At 36.8% G+C, this 14656-nt stretch overlaps 1 protein-coding gene across 1 annotated transcript in view; it reads right to left on the bottom strand.

The window, feature by feature from the left end:
• Positions 1–14656, bottom strand: part of UTRN (utrophin) — a 567700-nt gene that overhangs the window by 284315 nt on the left and 268729 nt on the right. Inside the window, exons 49-50 of the mRNA NM_007124.3 lie at positions 13827–14032; positions 11409–11563 (exon numbers count right to left, since the gene is read on the bottom strand). Of these exons, the coding sequence (NP_009055.2) occupies positions 11409–11563; positions 13827–14032 (361 nt within the window). The remainder of the gene's footprint in view (positions 1–11408; positions 11564–13826; positions 14033–14656) is intronic.

The raw sequence follows: 14656 nt of genomic DNA, 5'->3' as shown, positions 1-14656 counted from the left end.
TTCCTCCACTCTCACCTCCATCCCTAGTTTCAAATTCAGCTTCATTAAGAATTGCTGCATGTAAACGAAAGATGACTGGCGGGAATAGATGAGTAGTGTGCCGATCGCAAAAAAGGTTGGGAAGCATTAATGTGGAAGAGTTCTAAGATCGCATCCAGCACTGAACTTGCATTCGTCTATGATTCTCAATGTAGATTTCATATTTGGCAGTTCTGACTGCTACGTCTCAAGAAAGATCAGAACACAGCTAGAGGACGTATTGAGAAAAATAACGAGATAATACAAGGGAAGGAATGCTGTTACAGGAAAAGAAATGATTTTAAGCTTAGGAATTTGTGGCTAGAAGACAAAGGCAAAGAAATTTTTTTCTAAATCTTTTGTTAAATCTACAAATCACAAAGAACACAGACTAAAAACCTAAAGATACAACATTTTAAGTTTAGAAGGGTAACATTAGCAGAAATAATTTTTTTTTTTACTTCAAACAGAAGAAGCAACAGACTATAAAAGTCTTTACTGCAAGAAATGACACCAAGTAAAAATATAAATAGCTTCCCAAAAAAGATTTAAGGACATCCACGGGTGACAGATTTATAACACTTTACAGTAAAGGGAAGTAGGATTTTTTTTAAATGTAAACGCTTAGCTTTTAAAAGATATTTTTGTAATAAAAGCAGCTATGACACCCTATAGCCTATAATCATTTTGTAACACAATAAAACATGACATACTTGCCTTTTTAAAATGTTATTTTAAAGATGTTAAATAATACTTGATATTTTAAGCTACAAGATATATTATTTAATCAATTGTGCATTTACTTATAATTGGTCAAAAGAGTATTTGAACATGAATAGATATGTCTCTCTTTTTAAAGAGTTTAATGAAAAGAGCATCTCAGGAAACCCATCAATGTGTGTTGCCAAATTTTGGTGTGCTCAAAAGGTGACCTTTACATTAATATAATATTTAAATACATTTATCTCTTTTAGAATGAAAAACAGCAGCATCAGTAGTTTGAGTGGCAGGTAGAAAACTTACAATGAAACAATACCTTAAACTTTTCAGTGAGCACCTTCACAAGGTAATTTTGTTCTTTTAAATAATATTCACCTGGGAAATACATTAAAGCATGCTGTGGGGAAAAATGCAGTTGAAAGAAGAGTCAGTCTTCATTTCACAATCCCCTGCTGCTACCCCATGATCCCTGCCCACAGCCTTGTGAACCCAAAGGAGCATCTCTCTTGGGGCTGTGATTGTCAGGAAATAAATAGTCAAGACCACAGAGCCATTTCTTTGAGAGGATTTCCCTCACCACATCCTATTTCCCCTTTAGCTAAGTCACTACCAGATATTTGGTCTTCATTAGTCAACCAATATTGAATCATAACTCCAATACCTTCCCCAGTCTGCTCCAACACACTCCCCAACCCTTCTTCCACCATGCTCTAGAGCTCCTCTTCTAGGATCAGCAGACTCTGCTGTACCTTCCATCTCCCCAGGCCAATCCCTTTTTGTCTTCACTGAAACCAGTTTCCATAGGGCCATTATTTCTCCTGCAAACTTTTTGTTTTTTCCAGAGTCTGGTTCTGTCGCCAAGGCTGGAGTGCAGTGGTGTGATCACAGCTCACTGCAATCTCCACCTCCTAGGCTCAATCGAACCTACCACCTCAGCCTCCCTAGTAGCTGGGACCACAGGCATGTGTCACCACACCCAGCTGATTTTTGTATTTTTTGTAGAGATGAGGTTTTGCCATATTTCCCAGGCTAGTCTGGAACTCCTGGACTCAAGCGATTCACCTGCCTCAGCCTCCCAAAGTGCTGGATTACAGACATGAGCTACTGCATGGGGTTCCCTGCAAACTTTTCATGAAGTCTTTTCCTTTTTCTCTCAGATCCTTTATGCCTCAGTTTGAGAAGCTGGAATAAGGGTCCTCCCTGCTCCCCACTGCTACCTCCAGGTTATTGTTCACCCATCTTCCAGGCAAAATCCCACTGTAGAAAGCACAACACATGTATCCACTCTGTTCCTATACTGAGCTTCAGGTTCAGGGGCACTGTATATAGAGGTTGACCACTGCCTCAATGAGGAAGTGAAGTTTGAAATCCAACTTAAGGTCTGTTTGCCAAGCCATAGCTCTAGTGAGGAATGACACCACCCAGAGAAAGGGACACATTAGACACTATTATGGACCACAGGCAATCCTGTTCTCCTCTCATTTCCAAAGATCTTACTCTTCCCTGCTCCATCTTTCTCCCACTTCCATCTGCATTCTTCTTCATTGCCTCATTGAGTAGATGAATGCTATTAAAGAGTAGTTCAACAGGGCTACCTTTCCTTACATTTAATAATATAAACCACAAATAGGCACTCATTACTGCCCAGCAATACCATATATTTACCCTAGGAAACTCTCCATCCCACTCACAAAGATCTGAACTTACACCCAATCCTCTCTCTTCCAACTTCTCTTAGTCCTACCTCCAACTTCACTGACAATGTGCTCGATAGATCATAAAGCTCAGTTCTTGCATGGAGAACCTTTCATCTTCCACCACTAATGGTCTAGTTCACGTACATCTAAACTCACCTTCTCGTTGACTTTTCTGGTCATAATGAAAAATGCATTCCAGTTCTTACCAAACCCAATTCTCTAAATCTCACTTTCTTATCTTCTCAAAGCCTTCCTGTCCTCCTTCCTTTGTCCCCTCTGCATTTAATCATCAGTCTCTCATCTAGTGGGTCATTCTCATAGGCACACAAACATGCTTTACTATAATCCATTTTAACAGAAAAGTCAATCGACTCTCTTAACCTTACAGCCCCCACACTAAGCACTACCTAAAATCTCTGTCCCTCTTCACACAAACTTCTCTAAAGTTGTTTCCACAAACTGTTTCTACTTCTTCACCTTCATCTCACTCTCTAGCTTCCAGCCACATTACTTCCTCCAAATTGCTCTTTCCAAAATCACCAGGAATGTCCAAGCTGTGGAATTACCAAAATAGTGTGCTGTGTCATCCTATTTGGTTATTCAGCCCAATTCAATCCAGTAGATCATTCTTTCTTAGAAACATTCTCCTCTCTCCATTTCCTCTAAGAGATATTCTCCTCCCTCTATTTCTGAACATGACAAATCTGCGTTTTTTCACTTCATTGGAAATTTTTTCTGAGTCCCTTTTGCTCCTTCCTCCTTTTTTGTTCAATCACCAAACCCTAGGCCTTATGGACTCAGTTAAGCATACCCCTCTCTTCTTCATCTTCACTCCTTCCCTGGTGATCTCATCCAGTCCCACATGTTCAACCTCCAATGTGAATGCTGAGAACTCTCAATTCATATCTGAGGTCCAGAACATCTGAGTTCCAGATTAACATACATAATTGCCTATTTAACCTATATACTTAGATATCTAACAGGCATCTCAAACTTAACAAAATCCAACTTGCAATTTTTGTTCTTCCAAAACTCCCACATCCTTTCCCAATTCGGTGAATGGTACCACCACTCATCCTTTTACAAAATACCATCTTGGATTGTTTCCAAGCCCTTAAGGCATATATCTAATCCACCAAAATGTCTTTTCTACTTCCAAGGCATATCGCAAATCTAACATCTTATTTCCATCATTGCTGGCATACAGTAGCCACGGGGACCACCATGTCCCAGTTGGACCACAACCATCACTTCCTTTCTGATCTTCGCAATTATTCTACTATACCCACTAGCAACCTATTATCCACATAAGATCCAGAGAGATTAAATTTTAATATATATACACATTAGACAGTGTCACTCCCTTCCTTAACAATTCCAATAGCTTTCTATTGTACTTTTAATATCCAAACTCCTTCCCATGTGATATGATTAGGTTTTGTATCCACACCCAAATCTCACCTTGAATTATAACCCCTATATCCCCATGTGTCAAGGGAGAGACCAGGTGGACATAATTGGATAATGGGGATGGTTTCCCCCATGTTGTTCTCGTGATAATGAGTGAGTTTTCACAAGATCTGATAGTTTTATAAGGAGCTCTTCCCCCTTCACTCAGCAATTCTCTTCCTGCCACCTTGTGAAGAAGGTGCCTTGCTTCCCCTTCACCTTCCGCCATGATTGTAAGTTTCCTGAGGTCTCCCCTGCCATGCTGAACTATAAGTCAGTTAAAACTCTTTCCTTTATAAATTACCCAGTCTCAGGCAGTTCTTTATGGCAGTATGAAAACGGACTAATACCCCATGTCTTACAAAGCTCAGCATGATCTGGCCTCTGCCTTCCTCTCCTACCGCATCTCAAGCTCTTACCATCATATTCATTATATTGCAACCACATGCTGTGCTCTTTCCTGCCTCATGACTTTTATATTTGCTGTTCACTCTGTAATTTTCTTCAGATGGTTCCTTCTTAACCTTCAGAACCAGCTCAAATGCCACCAAGTTATGCTTTCTAAATTTGCCTCAGTTAAGTCCCTCTCTTACATAGCACCTCTTTAATTTCTCTTACCTCCAAAACAACCTCCTATAATTATGTATTATTTTCCTATTTACCACTTACGTACATTGCAGGCTCCCCCTATGCAATGTCAGCTTCCTGGGAGCAGGAATGAGGTGTATTTATGGTTGAATCTTTAGGGCTGGTCACAGAGCTTGGCAAATAGGAAGCTAAATAAATACTTGTTTAACTGGTTGATTAATCAATTAATGGAAAAAGAAACAAATGAAAACAAAAACAAAGACTGTGGGCATTGTTTCTGTGGGCATTGGCTCTTTAGTTTGTTTGATATGGAGCTAAATGTGCTGAGAAAATATCCGCATGCTTGAGTTTGATATTTACAAAATGAAAACATTAACATTCATAGGCATTTATCACAAAGACATTGTTGGCAATTGTTTTTTAAAAAAAGTAATAAAATGATACTTGAAATATTAAAACAACGTAACAGAAGAGGAAAATATAGAAGACTATAATTTTTACCCTTCTCTTTTTGGCCAGCTTTATTCCCAGCTTGGAAGGGAAAACTAAAAATCAAATCCTAGCAAAGAAAATAAACAAAACAAGTTGAAAAATAAAGGTGATTTTCAGGGAAAGAAGTAAGCTTCCGAGAGGATAAATCAAGTTGACTGACCCAAATCTCTGAACCTCATATTGGTGGGCATGCTAGGAGGATAAGGCTACCTGTACTTTTCACCTAAGCCCATTCATTCGGGAATGACAGCTGCTACAGCATTCATTTTTAAGAGCTTGAAGGTTGAGCCTGGCTGATATCAGGCCTTATGAAACAATCCCAATATAAGTATCTTCTACTGATCACTGTTAAAAGGAATTGACCAAATTGGACAAAGAATAAATGCTGAAAAAAGCTTCATTTTTATTAATCTATAGGGACAATAAACATCATTACTGAAAAAGTAATAACAGATATAATAGAAGCTTCCAAATATACAACAAAATTACTTGGAAAGTCAATCAAAATTAAATTTTTGAAACTTAACCTGTTTTCAGAATAGTTACAAAATCAGTCTTTACTATACACAATATTTAAATAACCTTTTGAAAACTATATACATTCCACATGTCTAGCTGGCCATTATTAATTAATAAATATTAATGAGAAAGATAATAGCATTTCAAAAGAAGAAAATAAAGTTATCTTACTGAATAAATCTGTATTTGTGCTCCCACATTAAATAATTGTGTCTTATGAACAGACACTTCTCAAAAGAGGACATTTATGTGACCAAACATATGAAAAAAAGCTCAACACTACTGAGCATTAGAGAAATGCAGATCAAAACCGCAATGGGATACCATCTCATGCTAGTCAGAATGGCAATTATTAAACAGTCAAGAAACAACAGATGCTGGTGAGGCTGTGGAGAAATAGGAAGGCTTTAATGCTGTTGGTGAGAATGTAAATTAATTCAACCATTGTGGAAGACAGTGTGGCATTCCTCAAAGACCTAACAACAGAACTACCATTCTACCCACCAATCCCATTTCTGGGTATATACCCACAGGAATATAAATCATTCTATTATAAAGATACATGTATGTGTATGTTCATTGCAGCACTGTTCACAATAGCTAAGACATGGAATCAACCCAAATACCTATCAATGATGGACTGGATAAAGAAAATGTGGTACCTATATACCGAGGAATATTATGCAGCCATAAAAAGGAATGAGATCATGTCCTTTGCTGGGACATGGATGGAACTGGAAGCCATTATCCACCGCAAACTAATGCAGGAACAGAAAACCAAACACCGCATGTTCTCACTTATAAATGTGAGCTCAACAATGAGAACACATGGACCCAGGGAGGGGAACAACACACTGGGGCCTGTAGGAAGGGGGCAGGAGAAGGGAGAGCATCAGGATATATAGCTAATGAATGCTGGACTTACTACCTAGGTAATGGGTTGATAGATGCAGCAAACCACCACATTTACCTATGTCATAAACCTGCATGTCCTGCACATGTATCCTGGAACATAAAATAAAATAAAATAAAATATTTTTTTAAATAAATAATTGTGTCTTTTTAAATTCCGTATCTTTTCTTCCCAGGATGGTTGGACTTTTGCTTTGGCAGAAAATGCTTAATTGCAAGGTAAATTCAGCAACTGTGATAATTCTGCAAACCAAGGAAACTGCATTTTTTAAGAAATTTCATCTGTTAATAAAATTTTAGAATATCTATACTGCACTCAGAAAAGCAGACAAAGAAGTATTTTATCATTAATTAAAGTAGAAAGAGTTAGAAATGACTATGGACAAACAACTGATAATGACTCAACCTTCTGCTAATTTAACCCCAGAAAGTACTGTGCATTTGACTAAAGGAAGTGGACTTATCAGAAAGACATTATATGAAAGAGCATATGATGACACTTTGGGCATCTTTTTCTTAAGCATATACTACCTACCAAGAACTTTTACACATAACTTTTGATATCACAATAACCCCACATATTAGACATGTTCTCCACTTTAGAATCAAGGAAATGGTGACTCGGTGAGTTGAAATAACTTCCTATAGGTTAGCACAGAAGGCAAGTGCCTAAGATGGGCTTTTAACCAAGGATTGCCCCATATACCTTACACTCAGTGCTTTCTGTTCTGCCTGTACAAACCTAGAAATACCTTAACATAGGCAAGGTAAAATGCGATAAGGACAAGGAGAAAAACACAGAGTAATTAGTGATTTCTAAGAAACTATTTATAGCACACAGTTATACTGTCTCATTTCCTTTACAATACTTCAGTGTAGATAACTATGTGTGTATATACATGAGTGTGCATATATATACATACCTGTATATACATGCATGTGCAAACACGTCTATACACACAGTTATATGTGTGTGTATATGTGTGTGTATAAACACACACATATATGTGTATGTATATATACATGTGTGTTACACAGGTGTGTATACGTGTGTGTGTGTATGTATATATATATATATATATATATATATATATATATATATATATATATATATATATAATGTTATTTTTGCCCTGGAGTGCCAAAATATATACAGCTAAAATAGCATTTTAGACCCAAATCAGGCATCCACACTGACTGTGCTATAAACACATTTCAACAATCACTATCTCAACTGGCACTAGAAAATTTGTTAATTAGCATTAAGAGATGGAAGGAAAAAAAGTGATAAGTAAAAAAAGTAGTGGTCAGGATATATAGATTAGTTAGAAACATTAGAGACAGGCCTACTTTTCAAAGAATCCAAAAAATCAGGATTCAGTTGCGTTTCAGAAGTAATATTATTTTTGAACATTAGAAAACTAATATTATGAAAGTAACTATATTAATTACTACCCCTGAACAGGGTCTGGGGAAGCAATCAAACACATTAATATTTCTGCAGCAAGGAAAAAGGCTATTCATACTAACCAGAATAAATAAAGACTTTAATAAAGAGCTGCATGGTAATTCAAAGATTTCTGTTATCAAAGCTGTTTTTAGATTTTGGCATTGTAGATAAGGGATTGTGGACTTATAATTGTGAATAGCTAAATTATTTAGGCTAACTGCAATTCATACAAAACATTTCCTTTGAAAGCTGATATTGAACTTCACACATTATGCTGCACAGTATTCCATGTGCAAATATAACAACCCTTCACCCCTCCAGAATTTGGCTGACAATGATGTATATAAAGAACAGGCTGGAAGATAAGAGGGCAGCCATGGTAAAAAGGCCTCTCAGCAGCCATTAGACGGGGTGTGATGGCCACGTACTGGAGTGCATTACATTATGCATAAAAAAGGCCCCGTATCTTTCATCTGATATGGCTTCTAAACTCAACACAGATAAGAATCAGTAAGCGGAATTACAGACAGAACTGAGAGGCGGGTACACAAAGCAGTCACCAAGAATGTCAGCAACGGCTGACAGTCTGATTCAAAGAACAAAAATGAAACTGTTTTTAGAGACAATAAGAGCCTGGCTTGCCAGTCAAGCTTGAATTCCAATCCCAACTCTGCCATTATAAGCTGTGTAGTCTTGAGTAATTCCTTAACTTCTCTGTACTTCAGTTTATTCATTAACATAGGACTGATGAAAATGCTACCTCTCTCCTGCAGTTGTTGTGAAGATTAAATGAAATGATGTGTGTGAAGAGGTCAGTACAGTGCCTGACAATGAGACGACACTCAAAATTTATACGCACAAAACAAAGCCCCAAATCTCACAAAGTATAGCAGCCTGAATAAATTTACTGCCAATTCTTCAGAACTCACAGCATGAAGAGCATTACCATTTAGTATAGAAAAATATCATCCTGACTGTGTTGCATGACTTTGAACATGTCACTTAACTTCTCTGAGCCTGAGAATATTAGATTAGACCATGTATTCTCAACACAGGTAATAAATGGTTATTTCTTTTCAGGGGGAGGGTGAAAAAATGTATTCTTTTTATGTATAAAGCACAACCATACAGTACACAGTATATCATGGTATTAAAATTTCATGGGAAGATGAGTCTACACAGGCTCCTTAGGGAAGCGATAATGTAAAGAAAGGTTGAGAAACACTGGTTCAGAAGAACTCTAAGGTCACTCGTATCCATTAAAGTTCCTTAATTCTATCTTTGCAACAATACTACCAAGAATTCAGAAAAAAGTTAAATATACATTCACAAGCTTTAAGAAGGCAAAGAAAGATTTATATATTCTACAAAGATGTCCATTTAAAATAGTTAAAAATTGTAAAGTTCACTGGGTTTAAAAGAGAAAACTCTCTTTACATATAGAAGCCCTAGTTATCATTCACGAAGGGATCCTATGAGCCAGTTTTGCTCTGTTTTCCCTGTTTTATAGATAACAATATATCTAAATCATGTCTAAATATTAATATAATTACTTATTTCCACCCCCCGGAAAATGCAGAGAGAAAACACAATAAGGACAACCACTTGTAACTACAAAGAAACTGGAACATTGTAATTGTCTTAGCTATGATAAACGAAAAATCACCTTGCAATATAATTCATTTTTAATTGCCTCTTCCATCTAATCCAACTACTGCTGTAGGCTGTCTTAAAATATTTACAAAGTAAAAGCAAAAAAAAAAAATAAGAAGAAGAATTGGAGGTGCTAAATAAAGCAGGCCACACATTCCTAACGGATAAATTTTTTGTTAAGTTTACAAGGAAAACAAAGTCCTAACTCTTATACATGGAATTTTTGGAAACACAAAGACAGAGCATATTTAAGGACTATATCTCTTTTTTTTATGTTAGCTATATTATGCAAATAATTTTTATTCATCGTACTTACTGTAATACGTATATGTTTTCATCCACAGTTCCTGCAACATAACTCCCATAACACTTGTTATAGCCTTTTGTTCTAATATTGGGGTGCCTCAGGGCTCAGAAGCAGGCCTCAGAAAACAATCTCTCTCTGTGACCTTCTCCTGCCCTTTCACCTCCTTCTTTCTCTCCTGAAGGCAGGAGTCTTCCCCTACCTTTCTGTCTTGGAGATGGCCATAAAGAAATTCTCTAACCTGCTTTGTCTGATTGTAGGTCTTTTCTTTTTTTTAATTATTATTATTATACTTTAAGTTTTAGGGTACATGTGCACAACGTGCAGGTTTGTTACATATGTATACATGTGCCATGTCGGTGTGCTGCACCCATTGACTCACATTTAACATTAGGTATATCTCCTAATGCTATCTCTTAAGGTTAAAGCTGTTTTTAATTCACCTTCTTCCCTGCCTGAGTTATGATATCCTTACTAAATCCAAATAACCTATTATAATAAAAGAGAAAAGTTGTAGTAAAATGTTAGAAAGACCAATATTATAGCCACTCTGCTTTAACCACTTGTGAAGTTTTGTCTTTGCTAACCCAGTCTTATTTTCTCCAGTATCCAAGGTATATCTAACAACACATTCAACCTCACATTGTGCCATCATAACCCTCTTCTTTGAGTTTTCAGAGCTTCAGAGATTGTAACTAAAAATAACACTCTGGAAGTGTATAAAACGTATCCATGTCAAAATGTTATTAAATGCTTAGCCATACTTTATTAGCAGGAATATATCAGGAATATAAAGTGCTCTAATACCCATTTTATTCACGTCAAAATAGATGTGTTTTGATACCAAATTGGTTTTAAGACAGTTGCATTTTAATAAAGATGTGCGTAATTTCACCTAGACACAGGCATTCCCAGTACTATATGCATGATGTAAACATCTTTTTTTACTAATGATGAATATAAATATGCAGTCTTAAAGAGATGCTAATCACTGTTTATAGTTTCTCAAATTCTAGGTGTTCAAGTGATTCAAGTGACAGAAAATTCTCTTGTAAACACATATTCTATTTTGGGCTGTTCCAAATACTCTGACTAGACAAAGTAATGGGAAAAAAGATAGTAAATTAACTAAAATCCTAAATGCACATAGATTATTTCAGGGATCTAGTGTTGGATCCATGTGTGTCTGGTCCTCAACTTAGGATGCCCCACCCAAATAGCACGCTATTCCAATTACCTTTAGGGATACCATTACCCTGATGCATCTGTAAACACCTGCACTCCTTACCATCAGAAGACTACAAAGTGTATTCTAGATAATACTGAGAGCGTAAGACAATCAGAACACATAATCATTGGCAAGGTTTAGGCTGATTTAAAAAAATAAAATAAAAAACTCCATTGTAAAAATTCAAAAACATATTGTATAAGCATACATTCTGTACTAAGTATGATAATACTAACTCAGAACATCACAGTATAAAAATACATAATAATAAAATGTACTTGTAGTAGCCACATGTTTGGCAGGTTTCCACGAGAAAGCCAAAGCCATCAAATTCTCAACTTGACAATATACATTTACCTGCCAGGGCCTTAGACTTACCTTTGTTTGAGATTGATCCATGATGTTTTTAAGTACTCTGTGGTTTCTTTCACATTCCTTGTGTCATCACTCCCATATTCCTCCAGGAGTTTCTGCAGGACGTTATCGAACGCCATGACGATACCATCTCCAGGACCCAGTTCTTGAAGCAGTATCTGAGGTGCAAGTGCAGGTCTGTTTGTTAGACTTGGTCACTCAGTAATTAGTATAATCAAAACAATGGTACTCCCAGCAGATTTTGACATGCTTTAGATACAGATATCACAGGATGAAAACAGACTGGGGGCAAACCCTTTTGTTATATGTAAGCTTAAACCAAAATTAGTAGAAGTGAAAAGAAACATGTCCAAGAAAGTGATCGAGTACATAGATGACAATATTACAAGATTATTATCATTTTCTTTTTGAGATATTTTCCTTCCTCAAACCATTTGTCTTTTTCATTCCTTCTGCTGTACCTCTCTGATCCTTACACGGACATGCGTCATAAAGGACTGAATACAGAGACAGTTCCTGCATACATGCCTGGAGAAACGTGAAGAATCAACAACATGGACGTCTTCCATCTCTTGCCCCTGGATCACAAGGTGTGTTTACAAAGATAACCACTTGAATGGATCAAGCTGCCAAGCAAGGTTTACTGAGAGTTTGCTTGAATAGCCAAACTGATGCTGAATTTGTCCACTGGCATTGGTTCTTTGACATAGTTTTTCAGCCTCTGAGAGTCTCTGGATCAAGGTACTCACCATGAAATCTAAATGACAACTGAAACCTTTAATATAATGCTTTTTGTAGCAATTGGGAAGATTTTAAATCAGCCTAAGGTTTCAGAAGAAAAGAATCACACTGCTGATTAAAAAATAATGTTCTAATATGATAACTGAAACACTGACATCACTTTTAATTGTATTCCTCTAGTTAAGGGGCCAGGGGCTTCACTATTACTTGGGAGTCATTTGGTGGAAACAGTCAGCAGTATCACAAACACACAGAATGATCCAGAAATGCATATAACTGGCCACTTGCTTTTAAAACTGTAACCAAGTAAAGTCTGCATTTGTGGAGAATAAAAACATACTTCCACATTTTCGATTGTTTTCTACATATACTTTCTTAAATTCTTCACAAATATACACTTCCATCTTAGGCTAGCTGAAGGGCAAATAAATGTTATACCAAACTATAACCTCACAACTAAAACCTCCAATTCAAGAATATTTTATAATTTTATACAGAGAATCTTAAAAGCACTTTTAAAAATACCATAGTTGTTCAATATTATCAACTCTATAACTGAACTGATGACAAAAAAGATGTCTGCTATTACGAAATTGATAAAACAGTTTGGTTAAAAAGTCATTAAAGGAAACTAAACTTACTTATCTGATTTGTTCACTATAGTAGTCCTCAAATGAAAGTCTTGGAAAAACTTATTAATAAAAATAACCTTCAGGGTAAGTAAGTAATATGGTTTGGATTTGTGTCCCCACCCAAATCTCATGTCCAATCGAAGGAGGAGCCTGGTGGGAGGTGACTGGATCATGGGGATGAATTTCCCCTGTGCTGTTCTTGTGATAGTGAGTTCTCACAAGATCAGATGGTTTAACAGTGTGTGACACTTGGGAGGCCAAAGTGAGCAGATTACTTGAGCTCAGGAATTGCAGACAAGCCTGGGCAACATGGCGGAACCCCGTCTCTACAGAAAATACAAAAATTAGCTGGGCATGGTGGTGCACGCCTGTCATCCCAGCTACTTGGAAGGCTGAGGCAAGAATCGCTGGAACCCAAGAGGTGGCTGTTGCAATGAGCTGAGATAGTGCCACTGCATTCCAGCCTGGGCGGCAGAGTGAGACAATGTCTCCAATAAATAAATAAAATGTGTGGCACTTCTCCCTTCTATCTCTCTCTGTCTTGCTGCCTTGTAAAGAAGGTGCCTGCTTCCCCTTTGCCTTCCACCATGATTTTAAGTTTCCTGGTACCTCCCAGTCATGCTTCACTACAGTAGCCCTCAAATGAACTGTGAGTCAATTAAATCTCCTTTCTTCATAAATTACTCAGTCTCAGGTAGTTATTTATAGCAATGTGAGAACAGACTAATACAGTACAGAAGGGAGCAAAAGAGGGTTCCTGGAATCTTGAAAGTGTTCTCTTTCTAGATGCTGATTTGAGGGTGTGTTTCACTTGCAAAAAGTCAGTGAGCTATAAATCTCGGAGACATGCATATTCTTACTTGTTATGCCTCCAGAAATTTTTCGAAAAAAATCTTCCAGATCAAATTCTTCATATAAATTTCATTAGACACTCTAAGAACTTAGGAAAAAACATGGCAGGGTCCTATTGTTAAGAATTACAGTGAACAATAGAAAAAAAGTATATCCAACAAAACAATACTGCCAAAAAATATCTGATGAGTCTTACTTGGTTATCAGAAATTTGTTTGGTGAGTGGATCCCGTCGGGCTTGCTGAAGAATATAGAGTCGAGCCTCATATTTTCTCATCAGTTCTTCAGTCTCCTCCCTATGGTCATCCCACTGAAGACTGTCAATAATCATGTCCTCAAGCTGCTGCTGTCTTAGCTCAACGCCATGCTGGGTGCCATCCCACTGGTTCTTGACCCTTTCCACTGAGGGTAGCATTATAAAAGAAAAAAAAATCCCAACATGTAACCCTCAGGAGAAAGAAAAAATATCATATATCAAATGTATCACAAATAAGTCTATAAACAGAAGAAGGCAAGCTGATAAACACATTTTGAAGGAATTTTAATATACATCTGCCATCCTATACAATTGATATATTTCTGAAACGGTGTTTGAGAAAAAAAAATCTTGAACTCTTATTTTCAGTGCTCTAAAACAACTCCCAAAAAAATATCTACTATTATAAACTGATACTGCCAAACAATTATAAAGAAAATACTGTTCTATTTAATTTTGTATTTACAGTTGTATTTATAGACCTGGTTTGATGAAGGTAGGGTTTAACAGTACTTCATGACAGAACTTTAAGACAGAGAGATAGTCACCTGTTACCCTCAAAGGAGAATTTTCTAAGGCAGTCTTGATTTTAGAAGAAACTGAACTGTGTAAGAATTTTTTTTTGCATTTGTTTTACTGTAGCAGGAAAACTCTCTAAAAGGAATTTTATATATTCAAGTTCAAGAGAAATGCTAAAAGTAAAAGAGACTCATGAACTGTGCACCCAGCAGCTCTTCATCATAAAAATTCCATACTGGCTCTTGTCCTTC

The sequence above is a fragment of the Homo sapiens genome, chromosome 6, assembly GCF_000001405.40.
Source record: "Homo sapiens chromosome 6, GRCh38.p14 Primary Assembly".
NCBI lineage: Eukaryota > Metazoa > Chordata > Mammalia > Primates > Hominidae > Homo > Homo sapiens.
The sequence above is the reverse complement of the archived record's forward strand: the minus strand, read 5'-3'. Positions and strand labels throughout refer to the sequence as shown.